This window comes from Homo sapiens, chromosome 17, assembly GCF_000001405.40.
Source record: "Homo sapiens chromosome 17, GRCh38.p14 Primary Assembly".
Lineage (NCBI taxonomy): Eukaryota > Metazoa > Chordata > Mammalia > Primates > Hominidae > Homo > Homo sapiens.
Window position 1 is genome coordinate 13,957,363 of NC_000017.11, and position 23,481 is coordinate 13,980,843.

A 23,481-nucleotide genomic window follows, 5' to 3' on the forward strand; every position below is an offset into this window, starting at 1 on the left:
AAATTTATAAGTTCAATGCTAAACTTCCCACAACAAAGGGATCACAGCACATTTAGAAAATAGCAAGGGAAATAACACTGAAAAACCTTTCTTTCTCTGTTCTGGTCACTTAAAGAATAGACCAAGAGCAGCCAGTGTTGTTTAGAAGCACCTATTGGCTGGATTGAGAAGCTATTAATTTAATCCAAGTGTTACATTGGCTAGAAGTTCTTTCTTTAAGATAACATATCCCTGATGATCAATAATGGCCAGAATTTTCAGTTAGTTTTAAGTTCCTAGGTCTTTACAATAAGATTTAAAAAATCTTCCAGCAAGAAACTCAGTTTTAAGATATGTATCAGTCATGAAAGTAAAACTAAGTGGATTTCTCCATCCCCTCTCTGGGCCTGTTGCCAGAATTAGCCATTTTATTAGAGGACACTTTTCACAATGCTTTCGGTTGACTTTTTCTTTTTTCAGGGATGAGGGTGTCATGTTATAGAGGGGTGAAGGCCAAGATCCTGGATTCAGACTACCCACGTTCAAATCTTGGCTTTGCCTCTGACTAGCTGTGTGGATTTAAGCATGTTGCTTAACTTCTCCAGGCTTCAGCCTTTCTTCTCTAAACAAAAGTACTAATTATGGCAACTCTCTCTCTCTCTCTCTTTCTGATTTTCAGTGTGTGTGCACGAGTGTTTGTTACCTTCTGCATGCATAAGTTACCTGGAAAAAACCCCAGAACCCAAGAAGAAATGAAAAAATTGAAAACAGAAAGTATAGGTTTTGGTAATAGCTCTTTCCTTCAGCAACCGTGACCTTGTGCCTATCTTTCTGTGCCTTGGTTTACCCTTTTGGAAAATGGAGAATGGTTGCTAAGTTAGGAGAGGTCTTCCTTACAGTCTCTTCTTCTTCAGAAATATCATAACAAGTTCATATCTGTAAGTGGAATATAAATACAATTTTAGGGATTGTGGCTGGGCCTAAATATTAAATACAAGAATAATCTTAGAGCAAGGAAAAAAAAATTAATTCCACGTTTGAAAGACTTCTCTAAAACCCAAATTTGTATTCATTTAGTAATAAACCAACATTTCCAATATATGTATATTTATCAAAAACTATTTTAATTACCAATTTATCATGATGTATCAAATGAAAACTGTATATTATGTTAAAAGCAAAAGACAAAAAAAGCTATTAAAATAAGGCTTTGTCAGCCTGTACAAGACTATAAGGATAAAGGCATAATTTCTTGACATTTTTTATGTATACAAAGTAGTTCAGAGACCTTACCATCATTTTGGACCTCTCGAGGTTAGGGAACCCCAAGTTGAGAGCCATTTGCTTATAAAACCCTGAGTCAGTGCTGAGAAAGCAATAATGGCCTGCCCACAATTGTGTAAGTAATAATGATATTACTAATCATTTACAAGAGCCCACTAGGGATTTTGGAAATAACCTCAAAGCAATTAACTAATGACCTACCTTTGATTATATCTCCAGCTTTGAAAGCAAAAGGTTAGAGTTCCTATGCCAAACTGATGTGGAGGGAGTGACAGAGCACGGTGGCCAGCTCTCTTCCTGAATACATCACATAACTCCTACCTGCTTAATCTCCCTTCCGAGTGCACTTCCAGAAGATGGTAATCTTTATAGCCTTTTAACATTTTTATAACGTCTTTTTTCATTCTAATTGAAACTATTGCTCAGTGCAGAAAACTTGGAAACTACAGAAAGACATGAGGCTACAAAATGTTACCCATAATCCCGTCATGCTCCCCAAAATTACTTTTAACTTTTTTGTGTTTGTCTCTCTAATTTTTCTCATAGAAATGTATACTTTACTAAAAAAGCAACAAACTATTAACATGGCTGTTTCACCTGCATTTTAATCACAACACATTTTGAGCATGTTTTCATAACAATAGGTGTTTTATGTGGTTGTACAATCTTTTATTTAACTAATTTCCTTCTGTTGGACATTTAGGCAGTTCAAAGTGTCTCACTCTGTAAATAATACAGAGATTCTGTTATTTCATTCGCTTATTGACACCCCCTTAGTACGTCTCTTTTCATAGAAAAAGCAGTTCCTTCCTACTAACGTATTTACATTGATAGAATAAAATTTTACAAAAGGAAACAACATCAACGACATATACACGGTTCGATTTTGCAGATATTTCCCCCTAGAACTATTATTTTAATTTTTATTCTCTTTGGAAATATACTTGAAAGTGCTATTCACAGCTCAAAAGTTACTGATTTTAATAATATTTACATATTATGTGTAATAATAAATACATCTGATGATATTTTTACTTGCCTTTCTTTGATTTTTAATCAGGTTGAATATTTTTAATATGGCAATTGGTGATTTCGTATCTATTTTTTATTGAATCACAATATATGTCCTTTGAATATTTTTCTACCAAGATATTAACATTTTCCCATTTTTTTAATTGTTTTCTTTATTGGCATATTATTGTATTGTTGTATTATTGTGGTTATCTCTACAACTTGGTAGATACAAAGCTAGCTCATCTTTTATAAAGATTGCCTTAAAAAGTGTCTTATGTACATACACAAAATGGACACTTTTACATAAATTGAATCATACCATGCATGACATGATTTATAATGCTATTTTTTCTTGCTTCTCTCCACCCCTCAAGTTCACCCACATCTTCACCGACACACCCACAATAACCCATGTTAATGACCTAGTATTTATTTTTCTTATTTTTCTCAATTTTCACAATTACATTTCAATATGTACAGATAAAATATATACATGTACAGGGTTTTGTCATTTATGATTTCACATAAATGATAGTATATGAAACATTTTCTGCATCTTCTTTTACTCTCTCAAGGATACCTCATAAAAATCCTGCCAAGGTAATTGGTGTAATTCTAATTCATTCTTCTTAATAGCCACATAAGCTTCCCTGGGGTGGATGGACCACAATTTATTCAGCCATTCCCCTATTACTGCCATTCACTTTGTTTCTAAATTTTTGCAACTACAAATGGGGCTGCAATAAACATCTTTGAGGAGATTTGCTTACTTATGGGTGTTTTTATTTTGATAGGATCGATTCACAGGACGAGTATTGCTGAGTCAAAGAGCATGTTCAATTTATTTTTATTTTAATGGATGCTGCCAGATTGCTTCCTAAAAAGGCTATAACAATTCATAGTTCCACTGGCAATGTATAAGAAATTTCCTATATCTGCATTAGCAATATGTATTGTAGCTCTTTTCAATTTTTTTAAGTCTAAAGAGTGGAAACATATGGTCGACCATTCATGAGCTCAAATGACATACGATTTATTGAACATTTGAATTTCACATCTCTAAATCCATTTATTTCTTGGTACTTTTTAAAATTTTTTCATGTCAACTTGTATATTTTCTGTATACTATAGAGTTTAATACTTTGTCAGCTGTACTGCAAATAACTTTGTTCCAGAGTTCACGCATGTATATATACTTTGCTTGTGGAAGTGTTTCTTAAATTCTCTGTGCCAAAGGCCCAGTATTGGAGAATATTTCCAATCTATAGCAAATCATTGTTTTGTAAAACACAAAATCACACACTTGGATGTCATAGCAATATCGAATGTCTATAAAAGTCCATAAATGCTTATTCTCAGTTTCTGTACTTGCCTAGGAATGGGTTGGTAGCACATGGCAGACTGGACAGCTCTACAAATTTACAGACAGGTCTAAGTGACACTAGTTTGTGTCATCCTTTTTTTTAATCAAAACTTTCACTTTTACATAGTCAAATATAGTTCCTTCTATAGTTTCTAGACTTTGTCTCTTAAAATAGTTTAAGGTCTGTTTCTAGGAATTATATTGCTAAGATGATTCTATTTAAGTCTCAAATACATGTAGATTGTTTTTCTAATTGTATCCTATCTTTTCCCCTTTTTTGTCTGGATTTTTTAACCATATGGGATGAAGTCCAGTGCTATTTTCTTTCAGAAGTGCTGCCGTGCTACCTTGGTCGTTGCGGAAGATATTGTGATCTGGCTCATTCAGCTGCCACTCCCTTCTAGTTTGCCTTCTTATACAGTCTGAGGCTAAAGGCAAAAATCCTGCATTCTTAGATCCAGTTGTACTATTGTTACATATGAGATGAACATGCCAGCAAACAGACACACCCAAGCAAGTCTTACAGCAGAGAGGTCAATATGATAAGTAGTTGTACAAAAGAATGTTTATTCTCTTAGAAAGCACAGTGAAATTGTCTGGGCACAGTGGCTCACACTTGTAATCCCGGCACTTTGGGAGGCCAAGGCTGGTGGATCACCTGAGGTTAGGCGTTCAAGACCAGCCTGACCAACATGGTGAAACCCTGTCTCTACAAACATACAAAAAAATTAGCCGGGCATGATGGCGGATGCCTATAATCCCAGCTACTCAGGAGGCTGAGGCGGGAGAATCACTTGAACCCAGGAGGCAGAGGTTGCAGTGAGCTGAGATCATGCCATTGCACTCCAGCCTGGGTGACAGAGCGAGACTCTGAAAAAAAAAAAAGAAGGAAGGGAAAGGAAGGGAAGTGAAGGGAAGGGAAGGGAGAAAGGAACGAAGGAAGGAAGGAAGGAAGGAAGGAAGGAAGGAAGGAAGGAAGGAATAAATAAATAAATATTTTGGACCAGGGACGGTGGCTCACACCTCTAATCCTAGCACTTTGGGAGGCCAAGATGGGTGGATCACAAGATCAGGAATTCGAGACCAGCCTGGCCAACATGGTGAAACCCCATCTCTACTAAAAATACAAAAATTAGCCGGATGTGGTGGCAGGTGCCTGTAATCCCAGCTACTCAGGAAGCTGAGGCAGGAGCATCATTTGAACCTGGGAGGCGGAGAGTGCAGTGAGCCGAGGTTGTGCCACTGCACTCCAGCCTGGGTGACAGGGGGAGACTCTGTCTCAAAAAAAGAAAGAAAGAGAAAGAAAGAAAGAAGGAAGGAAGGAAGGAAAGAAAGAAAGAAAGAAAGAAAGAAAGAAAGAAAGAAAGAAAGAAAGAGAGAGAAAGAAGGAAAGAAAGAAGAAAGAAAGAAAGAAAGAAAGAAAGAAAAAGAAGGAAGGAAGGAAGGAAGGAAGGAAGGAAGGAAGGAAGGAAGGAAGGAAGGAAGGAAGGAAGGGAGAGAGAGAGAAAGAAAGAAAAAAATATTTTGCTCTGTTGGGGTAGCTGTGAGGGGATTTCTCAAGTTCTTATATCATAAATTCCAGTCAATAAGAGTAGCAGCAATGCTACTTCCGTTTGAAATGTCTCATGTATGGTGAACCCTCTTCCTGGCTGCATAACATCCAAGCAGTTCTTTCATCTAGAAATCTACCTAACCTATCCTAGCAGATCCCCTTCATTTGAACTAGCTAGAGTAAATTCTGTTGTCTGCAACAAAAAGCCTTGACCAAAAATCATATATTAAATGATCTCATATACTGAGACACTTTACTATAGTTGCTCTTTTGTTTCCTTGATCCGTTTTGAATGGATTCCATATCATTAAGTTCATACCAGTAACACTGATCTTACCATGTCCTGAGATGTTTATCTTATTTGCTCTTCTTAGGAATTTATACTTTCATTTGGACTTTAAGATAATTGTATCACCTTAAGTCAACAAACAGAAAGAGAAACAGAAACAGAAACCCCAGCTGAGTAAAAGTAAGAAGCTTCCCTAAATCCAAGCTACAATATATGAAGACAAAGACTGAATGAAGAAATGGAAAGTGACTCAAAAGCTAAGGAGAGTCAAACCAAGGCACTCATGGAGTAGCATACTAATCATCAACCTGAGGACCTTGGAAAACTAACAAACCAATGGCACTAGGTCCAGCCAAAGATCATGGCGGGAGTGCTATATAAAAGCATAAAAAAGAAATAATTAAACTCCTAAATATCCACCCCCTCCCCTGCTCCAACAGAGTTAGGCAACAACCCTTCTTCTTCCTCTGTAGGAATGGGAGGTGTATTCTCTAAAGAAAATGTCCTACAGAACCTTTGCACTTGGTGTCACCAGACATAGAAACAGATAGAGATGAGGTCTAGGGCAGGAGTCAGCAAACTTTTTCTGTGAAGATCCAGATAGCAAATATTTTAGGTCTTATGAGCGATCTGGTCTCTGCTGTAACTATTCAGTTCTGAAATTGTATCGCCAAAGCAGCCATAGACAACACTTAAACAAATGGGTGTTGCTGTGTATCACAAAACCTTTACAAAAAAGATGGTGGGCTGGATTTGGTCACTTGCCCATAGTTTATAGACACCTGCTCTAGGGAGGTACCAGGAGTTTTAAGAAAAAGTCTACATGCTGAACAGGGAAACTCTCAGTCATCTTTCTCTGACCTCTTCCTCTGTTAGATTTATTGACCACACCCCACTTTCTACTAGCCTTCATCCTCCCCTTTCCCTTGCCAAAAAAGTAAACTAGTAAAGAGGAATATTATTCTCTCAGTCCCTTTTCCAATGGTGCCTCTAATTTTTCCAAACTCTTACTGAAAATTGACCTATTCGAACTTCCTACTTCTTGAGTACAGTTTGGTGAATTATGTTTTGTTAAGAAATAATCCCTTTTTCTAGGATTTTAGAAAATCCTAGAAAAAGTATTGCCATAGGAGTTGGATGTGGGGTTTTTATGAACATTTTAATTTTTTCTATATCTGTGAAAATATCTCCTTTCTTATTTTCAATATTGTATATTTTTACTCTCATTCTTTCTTTTTAAGTAGTCAAACTCACAAGAAGTTGATTTATATTGTTGGTCTTTTCAATGAACCAGCATTTGAATTTGTTTATTCTTCTTATGATTTGTTTCCATTTCAATAAATACTTGTTAAACAAATAAATGGCAGTCATCAGCAAATAGTTTGTTGTTACAGATCATCTGAGAGAAAATGTGTTGAGTGAGAAAGAAGGAGCCCTCTTAAGAACACCAGTATCTAAGGGTTGGGCAGAAAGAAAACAATAACAGAAAAAAAAGGAGATTGAGAAGAAACAATCTGATCTGATTAAATTGGAGAAAAACCAGAAAAGCACAGTGTCACAGACACCGAGATAAAAGTGTTTTAATAAGGAGAACCTTGTCAACAGTGCCAAATGCTGCCCAGAGGGGATTTCTTGCCTAAGGACTTAGAAGTGTTCCTTAACATGAGCTACAAGTAGGATGACCCTTGCAAGGGCAGGAGTAAAAGTCAGATTTCAACGAGTAGAAGTACAAGAAAAAAGTGAGAAAGTAAAGATAACAAGTAAAGATTACAGATAACTCTCAAAACAGATCTTTGGGGACCATAAGACATGCAATAGAGAGAAACTTTTATAAAGATTTGAAAATCTCAAGCATATTTAAATATGGACAGAAAGAAGCCAGTCAAGGGTTGGGTGGAAGATCCAGAGGAAGAAATGTCAGGCAGAGCACAGATGCAGATATTAGACCCACATCTGAGAAAGATGCCCGTTCCCTTATGACAACAAGGCAGGAGGATAATATATCTGTGGACCAGCGTGGGTGAGCATGTTTTTATAGACATAGTTGGAAGTATCAAAAAACTAAAGGATTTGAAATCGCTACAGTAAGTTTTGGAGGAAAAAGATAACTTAGGAATGGAGAAGAATGACCTGTCAGCACTGAGAGCCTTGTTAAGCTTGGAGACCTCACAGTTATGAAAACACAAAGCCTAGGGGTGAGGGTAAACAGAGGATGGATCCAGGCTTGCCTGTTGGCGTGACAGTCCCAGGTGATAACCAGTGATACTTGGGAGATTCTCACAGCTCCTCTGGCTCTGCCCACTCTGCACCAAAGCAGCCACAACGCAAAAGCTTTCTCTTCTACTTTTTCTACAGAAGGGAAAGAAATAAGCCTCTACTGCACTTATTGGAATAAATTCCCTTTCTGCTTCTCAGTGCCAACTTTTAAATCGTGGGCTTGGGGAGTGAAGAATCCTAAGGTTTCCTTCCTCGTACTGAGATGGGATTGTTCCCTTGACCCCCTTCATGGGTAGAAATTGGAGTGGCTCCTTTCACTCAGCCGGCCTCTGGCCACTCCAGGCAAGAGGGAGCAGGCAAGCAAGCAAGTCCAGGAACTAGAGGGAATGAAGGCTGAAACCAGCCAGTCGCTCCTCTCTGGTGGGAGCAGGCTCTGTGCCGCCCTGCAGCAGCGTCCAAGTCCCTGCTCTCCCAACACCTAGGTTCTTGTCCGGTGTCCAGAAAAAATCAGGTTGTGCAAATGGATTGAAGGGTAGTGTATGTGGAGGATTTTATTGGGTGATGGCTGTCATCAGGATGGGAGTTGGAAAGGCGATGGTGCAGAAAGAAGACGATCTTTCCCTAAGCCACACCTCTGAAGTTATCCACGTCTATCCATAGTCTGCAACACTCAGCCACTCATATCCCCGACGTTCAGCAGCTTGGATCCCCAATGCCCAGCTGCTTGCATCCCCAACCGCTTGCATTGACTATTTGCATCAGCCACTGTGTTGCTCTGCCAGCTGAAGTCTTTTCATGGGCACAGGATAGGGGCACGGCAGGCCAGAAAAGCAACATTTGGGCAGACAAATGGGGTCAGCTTTTTTGCACTTAGGGTGGTGGTTCTAGGCTTAGGGGTGGGGTCTAGTGGGGAGCCTGGAGCCCAGTCATTCTATATCATCTCCCCGCTCTGAAGAGGCACATCTAAGTGCCTTTAGAATATGGACAACGACCGGTCTTAGCTACTTCCTGCTGAAAGGGGACACTGTTTGCAGAAAATGGCAATCAGATTCCTCCCAGAGATTTACCTAAGGATCCCCGGCAAAAGGGAGCCATCGTCCGAGGCTCTGGCTGCCTGCCTATTTGGAGCCCTGATGGCCTCCAGGAGAGAGAAAAAAACAAGCTTTACAAGGTTAAATATGCATGGATCAAACGTGCATTATGCAAGGAAAGAATTTATTGCCAAAGATTACAGAAATAAGAAGTGAAATATACTAACAAGATTGTACCCCAAGCTGTCTCACCCCGGTGAAAAAAATTAAATCTTGTATGGGAGTGGTTACACTTTGAGAGAGAGAACTGTTCTTGCCACATCTGTAGTGGTTAACAGGTGAACGTTAGGAATTCTGGGGTTCATGGGCTTGCACGGTGGTCATTAAAGCTTCTGCCTCTTTCTTATATCTAAAAGACCAAGGTGGCCACTTTCAGGAGATCCTCTAAAGTACTATCTAGACCCAGGGTCTGTTTCTGAGTAGAAACTGGAGATGATAAAGTTTGTTGGTTGTCCATTCTGAAAGACAGGCAATTTGGGGCATCCCTCATTCCCTTCCTTCTTTTAGCAAAAACTTGGGGTGTGAGGGAGAAAGAAAGAGGGTGTTCCCCCCTTTTCTTTTCTATCTCCATCCCCGAGTCCCAGTGACCTTGGCAGGTGCCACCCATGGGTGCCAAAGCGGCTTGCACCGATGAAGCAGGGGGGCCTAGCGGGTGGGAGTACCCGCTCTTATCCACATACACCCTATCTCCCCTGCTGTCAACAGCTTTAAGTTCCCTGGTTCTCACCTATGCCATGGAGCATGGCCTTCTTCCATGAAGCAGGGTTTTTGTTGGCAGGAATTGATCCTGCCCATTTACATTGCGCATGTTGCCTGGCTTTGGATCCCTCAGATCTCGTTTTCCTTTCCAGGGCCTCAACCTGAAGCTTGGAATCAAGTTTGAGATTAAAAAAGGGTATTTGAAGGGCTGCAGAGATTCACTTAGATTAAGTCCCACAGGCTTTGGCAAATTTACAGCTACCAGCCACGAAGGTTTCCTCCTCTGTCATTTTCCTATCATAAGCAGAGTGCTGAGGTAGGAAGAGAACCCTCTCCCTTAGAAAAACAGAAAAACAACTTAAAGGGCATAAGGGCAGTGGGTGGGGTTGAAGGAAGAGCCTCTGCTCTGTGGAAATGGGTTCCTTTAATCACTGTATCCCTTCCCCACTTCAGACCAGCTAGACCTCCATAAAGGGAAAAAGAGCCAATATTCCTTTTACCAGGTGGAAAGAGAGAGGTGGCAGGGTCTTGAAAAAAAGGCAGATCCGACAGGCCCGCATGTTAACTAACCATCTGTTGTATCCCAGATGGGCCCCTAGATGAGATGGGATTGTTCCCTTGGCCTCCTTTGTGGGCAGAAACTGGAGTGGCTCTTTTCAGTCAGTCCGCCTCTGGCCACTCCCAACGAGAGGGAACATTGAGAGCAAGTGATTGTGGGAACCAGAGGTAACAAACGCTGGATCTGTCCAGTCACTCCTCTCTGGTGGGAGCAGGCTCTGTGTGTGTGTGGCCCGCAGCAGCGTCCAAGCCTCTGCCCTCTTGGCACCTGGGTTCTTGTCCAGCATCCAGGAAAAATTAGGTCACATGAACGTATTGAAGGGTAGTGTAGCGTATGTGGAAGATTTTATTGGGTAATGGTTCTCAGTGGGATGGGAGTGGGAAAGGGTATGGTGTGGAAAGAAGATCTTTCCCTGGGGCCACACCATCTGAAGTTAGCCGCTTCTATCCTTAGTCTCCACCACTCAGCCACTTGTATCCCCAATGTTCAGAAGCTTGTATCCCTAAAGCTCAGCTGCTCGCATCCCTAACCACTAGCATCATCCATTTGTGTTGCTCTGCCAGTTGAAGTCTTTTTATGGGCACAGGATAGGGGCGTGGCAGGCCAAAATGCAACATTTGGGTGGAAAAACAGGGTCAGGTGTTTTCACTTAGGGCCGTGGTTCCAGGTTTAAGGGTGGGGTTTAGCCAGGAGCCCAGCCATTCTGTATCACTACTTTGGAGTGGCAACACTGGGATAGGCAGCCTCTGATAAAACTATCCTTGACCTGAAAAAGCTAGAGATAAGAAGGACATGAACTGAGATGGGTCTTTTGTCACATGAGCCAGGTCTTATTTTTCTTTATTGCTGTAGAAACTGTTCATCTTGGCTTTATTTTCTGTGAGTTATTATTCAATTTTATAAAAGAAACACAAACATGTTATGTATGTATGTTTATATGTGTGCATATATATATGTGTATATATGTGTATATATATGTGTATATATATGTGAATATATATATATATTCTGTGCAAAGATCCTGTAGACAAACTAGTTACATGCATAGGAAAAAGACTTAATGGATATATGAAATATGATAGTAGAAAATGAAAGCTTTTCTTCTTCATATTTGAGCCATGAACATGTACTCATTTGTAATGAGAAGAAAATCAATAAAATGTATTTTTAAAGTCAACACATTTGAACAAATATTTTTCTAGCAGCCACGTTCAAAAAACCATATTCTGGTCTCATTTCTTTGCATTCAGGAAGCACTTTTCAAATATATCTTCGACGTTCCTGATTTGATTTTCATAGAATAATTCTGCTTTGAATGAATTTTTAAATTCCATTAGAGCATGTTTACTTACCTGAAATTCTTTCCTTATCTAATTTCTTTATAATTTCTGATTTATCTCAATCTGTTCCCCTCTCAGCTCAAATTTCTTATCATTCATCTTTCATCTCATTTGTCCATGTTTCCTTGAGCCGTGAGAGTACAAGGCACATGCTGGTGAATAGTTTCTTCTGTTTATTGCAGTAATATTTTAAAAACGATATTTCCTTCTATTTTTTCCTTTATGTTATAGCATTACTTCATAGGCTCCCTACTGGTTTGCATTTAATTTCCTCATCCTTAAATGATAGGAGATACATCAAGAACTATTTATTCCAAGATAAGGCATTCTGCACACTGTCTGCTTGCAAGCTGTTAAACGCAGGGTCTGAGATGTGAGCCTCCAATTTTGAACCAGTTCAATGATTCCCAGCATTGTGGGAAGAGTGGGCCAGAGGAAGTTCCCCTCAGCCAGGAGGTGTTCTGGTTTTCAGTGAAGTCTGTATGCTGGGGGCCAGACAGTATAGCTTGACTTCCTTTTAATTTCTTTGGTAAGAAGTCCTGACCCAGTGATGAGAAGACCTTCCATTGCCACCATGCTCAAGAACTTCTGGTAGCAGCCCTTGACCCCCTGACCTCCAGCTGAAATTTCTTCTGACCTCCTCTGGTTACTTTCCAGTGCCACCCCTTGCAACTCCAAAGAAACTGACTCTAAACAGAGGTTGATCCCCAGCCACTGCTCTGGTGGAGCTGAAAGGTTTCCATGTGGAAGCCCCTGACTACCACCAACCAGTTCAGGCGAGAGACCTGAATCCTTTCCCCCTTTTCTTTTTACCTTTTCTGAATCCTATTCCTTTTTTCCTTTTCCTGAGTTCTTTTTTTTTTTTCCTTTTTCAGCCACTGCTAAGCCCTTTGTATGGTGTTGATGCCTGTGTCCTGGACACAGCTGCTCTTAGATCTTTCCTTCCTTTTGTTCTGGGGTGTCACCCTTGCATCCCTCCTATTCAGTAGCTGCTACAGTCCCCATCAAAGTTGTCCTGGAGCTCACCCTGCAGACACATAAGATTCTAAGAGGAGTGTTTGCCCACCTCACATCCTGTCTCCAACTCCACTCCTTGCCTCCAGGTGAGGGGTGCTCATGGAGTTTAAAATCCCTGATTTCTGTCATTTATCAAACCCTGTTGACCTTTTCTTCATATAAACCCATCAATATTTTATCTAGAAGAAACCACTGTACATTTCTAATATGTCATTCATATTCTCCTAGCTGTAGTAAGAATGCAGATATGGTGCCTAAGTTCGAGGCAGGAGAATAGGGTCTGGAGGCAGGGAATCTAAGGCCAATTCATGCTGACTTCCTAGAACTAAACTGATAAGGGAAAACCCCAAATTTTCACGCCTAAGTAACAAAAGGACCAGATGCTACTCACTTTGCAACCCCACCACCTCTTCTGCACGGCAGATGGAAATATTAAAGTACCTCTGATTGGCTGCTTTCCAAAACCAATCAGATGGTTGCATAGGAGTGTAACTTTGTAACTTCATGTTAGCCTCTGATGGTTGCTTTCTGCAACCAATCAGATTGATTGAGGGCCACCACTTCATTTGCATGGGGTGGACACCAGTGGCCAATGGGAAACCTCTAGGGGGTAGTTGGACCCCAGAAGATTCTGTAACCGGGGCTCTTGAGCCACTGCTTAGGCCTGCTCCCACCTTGTAGAATGTACTTTCATTTTCAATAAATCGCTGCTTTTGTTGCTTATTCCTTCCTTGTTTGCTGTGCATTTTGTCCGATTCTTTGTTCAAAATGCAAAGAACCTGAACAACTTGCAGTCAAGACCCTTTACCGTTATGTTACCCTTAACATATTTTGGAGAGCCAACCGGAAGATAAGCCCAAAGTTAGGGATTTATTTTTCTCCTTTCCCCTTTTCTTCTCTGCTGCATACAGGGGAATCTTTTTTTCTCTCTCTCTTTTCCTTTCCAACTCAGGGAGCTCGATGGACAGCGCCAAAGCACGGAGGCAACTGCAAGTTGCTGGCCAGGGCCACTCTCTGGTGAAACAGAAAGGTTTCCATGTGGAAGCCCCTGACCACCACCCAGTTCAGGTGAGGGACCTGAGTCCTTTCCCTTTTTTTTCCTTTTTCTGAATCCTATTCCTTTTTCCCTTTTTCTGAGTTCATTTTTTATTCCTTTTTCAGTGTTTCGGCTGCTATTTCCTAGTAGCTCCCTTGTACGTGAGGGCAACTGGCCGGGACCACTGTCTGGTGCTGTCTGAAGGCCAAGGAATGAACAAGGATGACTGCCCGGCCCAAAAAAGGAAAAGACTATTTTCTACCCTTTCTAGTTATAGTCCCTGGTCCCTACGTGTGATGCAGCGGGCAGTGGCAGCTTGTCCAGGGTGAACTCACACAGGTTTCAGGCAACTTGAACCTTCTTTTCTTATGCTAAATTCTTCCCTTCCCCTACTTGACTGGCAAAGGACAAAAAACCCACCTAGCTATGCAAAAAAGATTATACAACTAGTTGTTTAAAGAGAGAGTTGTTTAGGGCAAGTCACAGGGTCCAGGCATGTTGTAGGTGGTGTATGTGGGTCATGGGTTGGGGGGGATCCATGAGAAAGGGAATTTATGCAGGAACTGACAGGTGGGTTTATTGCTTTAATTTACAGAGTTAAAAGGTTGCTTTAAGTGGGATAGAAAAACCTTGAAGAAAGTTCATAGCAGGTCATCAGTGGTGAAGGGAACCAGTCCAAAGTGGTGCCAGCACCCATCTAAGTTCAGAGACATTTGATGGACTAAGTCAGGACCCTAAACTGAAGGCACCCCTGGGGACTCCAGTCAGGGCCTAGAATTTTTCCAGGGGGATGACCCAGGTAAAATTTGAGTCACTTGATAAACCCTCCACTTTTCAAAGTCCTCTTCCCTTTTCCAGGCCACTATGGACAACTCTGAATCTATTCCACCTGATTCCTCGCTTGACTACATCCTCCACCATTGGAAGCAATTTGACCCTGACAATGTAAAGAGAAGGAGCATATTTTTTTTTCTGCAATACTATCTGGCCCCATTATGAGCTGCCCAGCCAAGAACAATGGGCAGTCAACGGTAGCCTTCATTATGACACCATCCTGCAATTAGACCTATTTTGCAAGAGGCAGGGCAAAAGGTCAGAAATCCCATAAATACAGGCTTTCATGACCCTATACCAAAACCTAACAATCTGCAAAACTCCCAGAACCCACCCCCTAAAGGGAAGTTCTAAGGCACAGCTCAATATTATAGATGATCCCATTTTACAAGGACCACCTGTCTCTCAGAGTAAATAGCAACTGCCCCCATATAGCCCCTTGCCAAGGCTCCTGAGGCTAAAACCCAGGAGCAAACACTGGGAACCCTACTAAGTCCCCCTCACACTTGGAGGGGAACACCTTATTCAACTCTCCCTCCAGACCTGCTACCCCTTAGGGAAGTAGCAGGAACCAAGGGGCCTGTCCTAGTGCAGGCCCCCTTCTCTATAACTGATATACAACAATGTAAGGGGAAGCTATTCTGAGATTCCTAGGAAATGTGCAGATGGGTTCCAAATTTTGACCTTAGCCTTTGAACTCTCATGGAGAGATGTTCAATTCATTTTAGCAACCTGTTGCACTCCCTCAGAAAAGGAACGAATCTTTGAGGCCACTTCCCCAACCCGAGAAGTGGATGAATTATTCACTTGAAACCCTCAGGACAATCACTGGAGGCCAGATACAGTTCTCATTACTGATCCTAATTGGGACTATAACACCCCCATGGGAATGAACAACCAGGCTAAATTTCTTGAGGCTCTCCTTGGAGGAATGAGAAAGGGAATAACTAAGCCAGTAAATTATAATAAAGTAAGAGAGGTTACACAAGGCAAGGAGGAAAATCCAGCCATGTTTTACAGCAGGCTGGAGGAAGCCTTTAAGAAATATACTAATCTGGACGTTTCCTTTCCCGAAGGCAAAACATTAATGGCACAGCATTTCGTCAGTCAATCCACCCCAGTTATCAGACATAAGCTGCAAAAGCTACAGATGGGGCCACAAACTAATCAAAATCAACTTCTTAATACCACCTTTATGGTGGTATTATGACCTGGAGGAAGTAAAAAGGGAACAGAGTGAAGAAAAACAGCAAGCCAAAATTATGGCAGACATCATTGGTGATGCCCTGAATGCCCAAAAAGCATTTAAGGGAAACCCGAAGGGCCATAAACCACTGCCCTTTTCTGCAGGGCAGATGGAAAATTGGTTTTAGAAAGCAATGAATCAGACGTTTGTGTAGGAGTGTAACTTTGTAACCTCACTTCAGCCTCTGATTGGTTGCTTTCTGCAACCAATCAGAATGATTGTAGGCCACCACTTCATTTGCATGGGTTAAACACCAAGTGGCCATAATGGGCTCTTAATGCCAGCAAAGGCTTTTGCTTCAAATGCAAGGAAAATGGGCATTGGGCAAAGGAATGTACTAAGCTTCCATCAGGCTCCTGCCATCAATGGGAAGGCACCAGTTGTGACTCCTGGCACTGGAGAATTGACTGCCCCTGCTCCCACCAAGGGGCTCAGTCAGGCAAAACTCCAGCAGTGCAAAAGGAGGAATTAGATGAAGACTGAGAGGGCCCAGGGTCTTCCTCACCCCCCCGTCCCGTAACACTGTAATTACTACTTAGGATCCCCAGGTAACTGGACGTCAGGGGCTCTCAAATTCAGTTTCTTTCCAATACAGGGGTGAATTACCCTGTCCTTACTGCTTATGCAGGCAAATTTTCCTCCTGGTCCATGGGTTTTATGGGATTGGAAGGAAAGCCACAAACAAGATTCTTTACCCCTCCTTTGATCTGTCAATTTGAGAAACAAATCTTCCACAGAAATTTCTAGTAGTACCAAGCTGCCCAGTCCCCCTGTTTGGAAGAGATATTATGGTTAAAATAGGGACACTACTACAATTTAAGCATCCAGCCTGTCACCCAGTCTGGAGTGCAGTGGCGTGATCTCGACTCACTGCAACCTCCACCAGGTTCAAGCAATTCTCCTGTCTCAGCCTCCCTAGCTTTAGACTGATCCAGTTCTCCTCACTTTCTTGCTTGCCGTTCCAAGAATAACTGTAAAATGTGCTGGGAATGAAACATCCTGAAATATGGAGGGACTGGGAAAAGCAGGGTGAGCTCTGCTCCTGTTCAAACCTGCCCCCAGAAACAAAATGTCCTTCAATGCTTTAGCCCAGCATGTCATGTCCATGGGGCAATACATGGGAACACAGGGAGGGCTGTTTTGGGGTCCCTCAGCTGCAGTGCTAGCGGGGCACACACAGACAAGACTGTCCTCTCCAGGCAGCTTTCCTGAGGCTTGTGGGATCAGCACATCACGAACACTAGGCTTCTGCTGTCCCTTGCTGCCTAGAAAGTAATAAATCCATTTCATGTGACTTGTGTGCATGGTGTGTTCTGTCTCACCAGACTCAGACAAGTTGGTAGCCAGTGCACGGTGAATCTACTTCACAGTGATTCTGCTTCAGAGTACTTTGTTCTTCTGTCCTGAAAGAACTCTTGGGTGATATACACGCTGAGTGCCACTGCCTGTCGGAGTCATAAAGGCACCTTGCCACTCTCCCCTTTGTCTACACCAGGCCACTTGCCGCTGAGCAATGCACTGGCATCTCATCCCCTCAGCATCACATCTGCTCATGCAGCTGGTTTAGTCTTTCAGATTCAAAGCGACACAGACGCTCTGGGCTTCAAAGCATCTCTGTATTCCCAGCCCAACCATTTCTTATATTCATGACTAAATAATGCAGCCTGTTGACTGGTGCTCACCCACAGTGGGGGCGGGTCTTCCTCTCCCAGCCCACCAACTCAAGTGTCAGCCTCCTCTGGCAACACACTCACAGACACAACCAGAGACTATGCTTCATCAGCCATCTAGGCATTCCTCAAATCCAGTGAAGTTGATACCTAATATTAACCATCACATCACCTAATATTAACCATCACCCTCACTCATTAACTTATTTATTTGTTTATCCCTTCAAAGGAAATATTTATTGAATGCCCTTTATATGTCAAGCATTGTGGTAGACCCTGGGGGCATGGCATCTTTCCTCCTAGTGGGACCTTGGTTTTTATTGTTTTTTTCTTTAATTTTTAAAATATTATGTTTAGTTGGCAAATAATAATTATATGTATTTATAAAGTATCATTGTAGGAGGACGAGCCGCAGGCAAAACTCCTGAGACACAGAGTTAAAGAAGGAAGGGGTTTATTCGGCCGGGGGCATCGGCGAGACTCCTGTCTCAAGAGCTGAGCTCCCCGAATGAGCAATTCCTGTCCCTTTTAAAGGCTCACAACTCTAGGGGGGTGCAAGTGGAGAGGGTCGTGATCGATTGAGCAAGCAGGGGGTATGTGACTCGGGGCTGCATGCACTGGTAATTAGATCAGAACAAAACAGGATAGGGATTTTCACAGTGCTTTTCTGTGCAATGTCTGTAATCTATAGATAACATAACCGATTAGGTCAGGGGTTGATCTTTAACTACCAGGCCTAGGGTGTGGCGCCGGGCTGCCTGCTTGTGGATTTCATTTCTGCCTTTTAGTTTTTACTTTTTCTTTCTTTGGAGGCAGAAATTGGGCATAAGACAGTATGAGAGGTGGTCTCCTCCTTTACCATGAGATGTTTTGACATATGCATACATTATGGAATAATTAAATCCAGCTAATGAACATATTCATTACCTCACATGCTTATCTTTTTTTACTTTGTAGTATGAACCTTTAAAATCTGCTCTCTTAATAATTTTGAAATATATATTATGATTAACCATAGTCATCATGCTGTGCAACAGATCTCAAAATAATTGGGTCAAACTTGTGTACCCAACTCTCTGGGCCACCAATAAATTCTCTCCCACAAGCCTTCTCAGTCCCTTATGCAAAATTATTCTAAGCAATAACACCAGAATAAACTCAGAACATTCTAGCTGTGTAAGGAGTCCCTTAGTCTGTCTCACAGCACCCTTTATTAGAGTCTACGTGCCTTCAGGACAGGGATCATATCTTCATCAACCAACCATCCTCTAAAGGAGTATTTTTATAAACTATAATTTTTCAATACTATATGACAGCATCTTTCAAGACATGGTCTTGGACTAATTGAATTAGATTACTTAGGATTTTTAAAAAATTCATGAAATACATCCTGCATCAGAATCACTGAGGATGCTTGAAACGCAGATTCCTGGACCAAATCTTGAACCCTCTAATGTTGAATCTGTAGAGTTCCACAGGATACTCTGTGAAGCATCCTAGGGCATTGTTAACATGCTCCCTGGTGATTCTGAGGCACGTCAAAGTCAAGTAGGTTCTTCATATCTGCATCTGTTCACACATAGGGAATCTGCAGAAATTAATCCTTATCTAAAATTTATTTTAGATAAGGATTATGTCATTGCTTAAAAGAAAAACTTGACAATAATTCCTCTAAAACACCCAAGCCAAGGGTGCAGTGTGAGATGAGCTAAGAATTGAGATGAAATCATCAAATTGTTAGGAGATTAAAGCAAAATAAACATGGAGGTGAACAGAAGTTGGGAAAGAGGTATCCATAGAAATGCAGTCAAATCTAAGTCAGGGGAACCAAAGGTCAGTTTGTGTGACCCTCTGGGGTCTTGATCTAAAGGCTTTAGCCAAGTAGCAAGTTCAGAGAATTTTGGAAGCCTCTACTGAGTGGTCCAGAAAAAGCTGCAAAGACCTTGTTAGGGTGCAGCTGGATCCCCTTTGAAAGACTGTAGCTTCTAGGCCGGGCGCGGTGGCTCACGCCTGTAATCCCAGCACTTTGGGAGGCCGAGGCGGGCGGATCAGGAGGTCAGGAGATCGAGACCACGGTGAAACCCCGTCTCTACTAAAAAAAATACAAGAAATTAGCCGGGCGCAGTGGCGGGCGCCTGTAGTCCCAGCTACTCGGGAGGCTGAGGCAGGAGAATGGCGTGAACCCGGAAGGCGGAGCTTGCAGTGAGCGGAGATCGCGCCACAGCACTCCCGCCTGGGCGACAGAACGAGACTCCGTCTCAAAAAAAAAAAAAAAAAAAAAAAAAAAGAAAGACTGTAGCTTCTACCTTGTTACTGTGTCTCTGCTGCCCTTCGAGGAACTGTGCCCGTTTTTCGCCAAAGCCATGTGTGAGCTGAGAACAGGAGCATGAAGGCAAACGGGTAAGCCAGCTCTTATCATTCTCATCTGTAAAGCAAAGGAGATGGGCCAGGTGTCTCTTCTATGTCTCTGTCAGGAGTAGCATTTGGAACCTGAGGAAAAGTGGTCAGCCTGACGATAGAACTTGAGCATCCATTGATCCCATCAACATAGGCTTAGATGCAAAGATACTTCTGCATTCACATAAATCAGAAAAATAAAAATCAACTGGTGAGCCTCCTAGGGAGAGAAGAGCATCAAGGAAAAAGCAGTATTTGTGATTCTTCTGCTCCATAGGTACTTCTCGGAAGCAAAGGACTGATTTCAAAGAAATGAAGGGATTCCTTGTATCTCATGAAAAGGCTTCCTGTCTAGCAGAGAGGTGGAGAAAATGCAGTCATCACTGCTAATTCCAGATCATCTTTGAGAGGAGGAGACACCTCTGTGCAGGACCTGGCTCCCTTAGAGATAAAACCAGCTTGAGGAAGAGCCAGCAGTCTGTTGAGTAGCCCCAGCTCACTTGGAGAAACCATTTTCACTGGAATTTTTCAGAGGCCAGATCTGGATTCCAGAGCAACTTTATGAGGTGCTACTGTAAGTAATGAATGCATATTTACCAAATGTTCCAGAATTTACAGAAGTAAGTGTTGAAAATTCTTTTTTGTAAATTTCTCCAGAGCCTGCACCAGATCTTAATCCTTGAGTGGGATTTGAGATTTACAAACAGGCAACAGACAGTTGGGAACAGGGAAGATGAATCGGGTCAGTGCCCAAGCCCAGTAATTGGGGTCATAAAAAGGTGACACTTTTTCTATAATGAGGATGCATCACTTTTATGATAAATCAAAGTTAATTTTAAAAAATCAGACTGATTCCATTACGTGACTCAAATTAGCCTTGAAAGTAATCTGCCAAGAGGAAAGAAAAATGGCTGATAGCAATGGTAGCACCATTAGAATTCATAGACAGCTGCCCATAGTGATGATATTGTAGGAAACAGTCTTCACTAGAAATACCAGCATTTTATTTTAAAAGGTCTTCATAGAGGTCTGAAACAAACACCCTGTTCAGAGACATTCCACCACCGCATTCACCAGGTGAATGCCTGACATTCCACCACCTGCATCATGAGGTGGTTCACTGCATGAACCACCTCCACTCAGGAAACCTAAGATCCTGAAGCATCAAAATCCTCAGTGGAACTTTTCTGCCTTGACTAGCTCAAAACACATCTCACCCCCTCAGTGGGGGCCCCAGCATAGTCTTGGTATTGAGGAAGGTTACAGAGACTGGAGGGAAGCCAGGGGATCAGACTGACTTCCTAGTGTGAGGGCTATATATAAATGGATATTAATGAAGAGAAAAAGGCCCAGACCATGCCAACAGCCTCCTTCCTAGCCCTTCTGGCACTGGTCTCGCCTGCCCTGCACACAATCCCACAGCACTCTCAGAGAGACTCTCTGACAGTCAGGTCACACCTCCAGTCACAGGTTCAAAGTTTGTAAGGGTCTCATCACTTTTCCAGGAGAAAATGTAAGCCCACTTGCATGGTGCAGAAGACTTTCTCCACTGCTTCCCTGTTGATATAGTTTGGATATTTGTCCCCTCCAAATCTCATGTTGAAATTTGATCCCCCATGTTGGAGGTGGGGCCTGATAGAAGGTGCTTTGGTCATGGAGGTGGATGCCTCATGAATGACTTGATGCCTTACCTGCATAATGAGTGAGTTCTCACTCTATTAGCACATGAGAGAGCTGATTGTTTAAAAGAGTGCAGCACCTCTCCCCTCTCTCTCCATTGCATCATTTCCTCAACTTCCTTCTGCTTGGCTCCCTTTTTCTCTTTATTATTGCCCCAATACCTTCTATGTGCCTCACCCATCCTTCTATGGCAGAGACTAGCTCACCCGATTACAATTATCCAATGGAAATAAAACTAGGAATTGAAATGGGGTTGCATGATAGGCAGAATTCTAGGCTCTAGAAACACCATTTGGTCACATTCAATAAAATGCACCACCTGGCTTTTCACAACCACCTGGTTGGTTTCTCCCTTTGGAAGGAATTAGGCCAGACTCAAAAGAATCTGATTTGACAGGTGGATACCAAGTAGGGTTTCAGAAAACTAAGGCTGCTGGGCTAATAAGGTAGTTACTTAGAATGGCCAAAAGCACAGATCCAAGTTTGAGATGAAAAGACCTATCTGTAGGAGGGTTCTAGAGAGATAGAATAACTGTATTAGATCCAAACAATGGGAGTCCAAAGGAGAGAGAGAGACAGAGAGCACAGATCAGAGGTAAGAAGACCAGTATGAGAAAGCAGATGGAGGTTGTACCAGCTTGATATTGAGGGGTGAGGGTTTACTGGGAAGGGGCTTGAAAGAACATTGTAGGGTAATGTAAATATTCTGTGTCCTGGGCCAGGTGCAGTGAGTGGTTCATGCCTGTAATCCCAGCACTTTGGGAGGCCGAGCTGAGCAGATCATTTGAGATCAGGAGTTTGAGACCAGCCTGGGCAACATGGGGAAATGCCATCTCTACAAAAAATACAAAAGTTAATCAAGTGTGGTGGCACTTGCTTGTAGTCCCAGCTACTTGGGAGGCTGAGGTGGGAGATTGCTTGAACCTGGGAGGCTGTGAGCCAAAATTACGCCACTGCATTCCAGCTTGGGAGACAGAGTGACACCCTATCTCAAAAAAAAAAAAAAAATTGGCTGGAAATCATCATTCTGAACAAAGTATTGCAAGGACAGAAAACCAAACACCGCATATTCTCACTCATAGGTGGGAATTGAACAATGAGAACACCTGGACACAGGTTGGGGAACATCACATACCTGGGCCTGTCATGGCGTGGGGGGAGAGGGGAGGGATAGCATTAGGAGATATACCTAATGTAAATGACGAGTTAATGGGTGCAGCACACCAACATGGCACATGCATACATATGTAACAAACTTGCACGTTGTGCACATGTACCGTAGAACTTAAAGTATAATAAAAAAAAATTTTTCTTTTAAATTCTGCATCTTGATTGTGGTTATGCAGGTACATTCACTTGTCAAAAGTCATCATATTGGATGACTTTTATAGTATGTCAATTATTCATCAGCACACTTGATCAATGTTTTTAATTAGGGAAGAAGAAATAGGCGAATAAGTTTTTAAAGGGTTATAAGTGCCCAGAGCCCACTATATGGACCATAGACAAGAACTGAAGGCAAAGGGGAACTCCAGAAGGTTGTTCTGTTCCTCCCTCTCTCAAAATATCAAAAAATCATATCTCAGAGCTGGATCACTTTTCTGAAGTATATTCCACAGAATACTAATTTCATGAGTTGCTCCTTGAATCAAAAGAATCTGAAGTCAAATAAATTTTGGAAATGCTCATACTTTATCCACCTTTTGGATGATCCCAACATATATTAGACCAGCACTGTCTAGGAAAATTATAACCCAAGTTCCATTAGTAATTTAACATTTTTGAGAAGCCATATTTTTAAATCAATTTAGGTTTAATAAAATATTTATTTTATGCCTACAAATACACACACATACACACACAAACACACAGAAACAGAGAGATTTATCACAAGGCATTGGCTCATATAATTAATTATGAAGCCAGAGAAGGCCCAAGATCTGTAGTTGGCAAGCTGGAGGGCCAGGAAAGCCAATAGTATAGTTCCGATCTGAGTCCATGTCTCAAGGCAGAAGACCAACGTTCCACCCTGAAGATGGTCAGACACAGAAAGAAAATTCTTTATTGCTCAGCCTTTTATTCTCTCCAGACCTTCAACAGATTGGATGTGGCCCACCCACATTAGGGAGTTTAATCTGCTTTCTGTGGTCTACTGATGCAAATGGTAATCTCATCCAGAAACACCCAGAGATCATGTTTAACCAAACATCCATG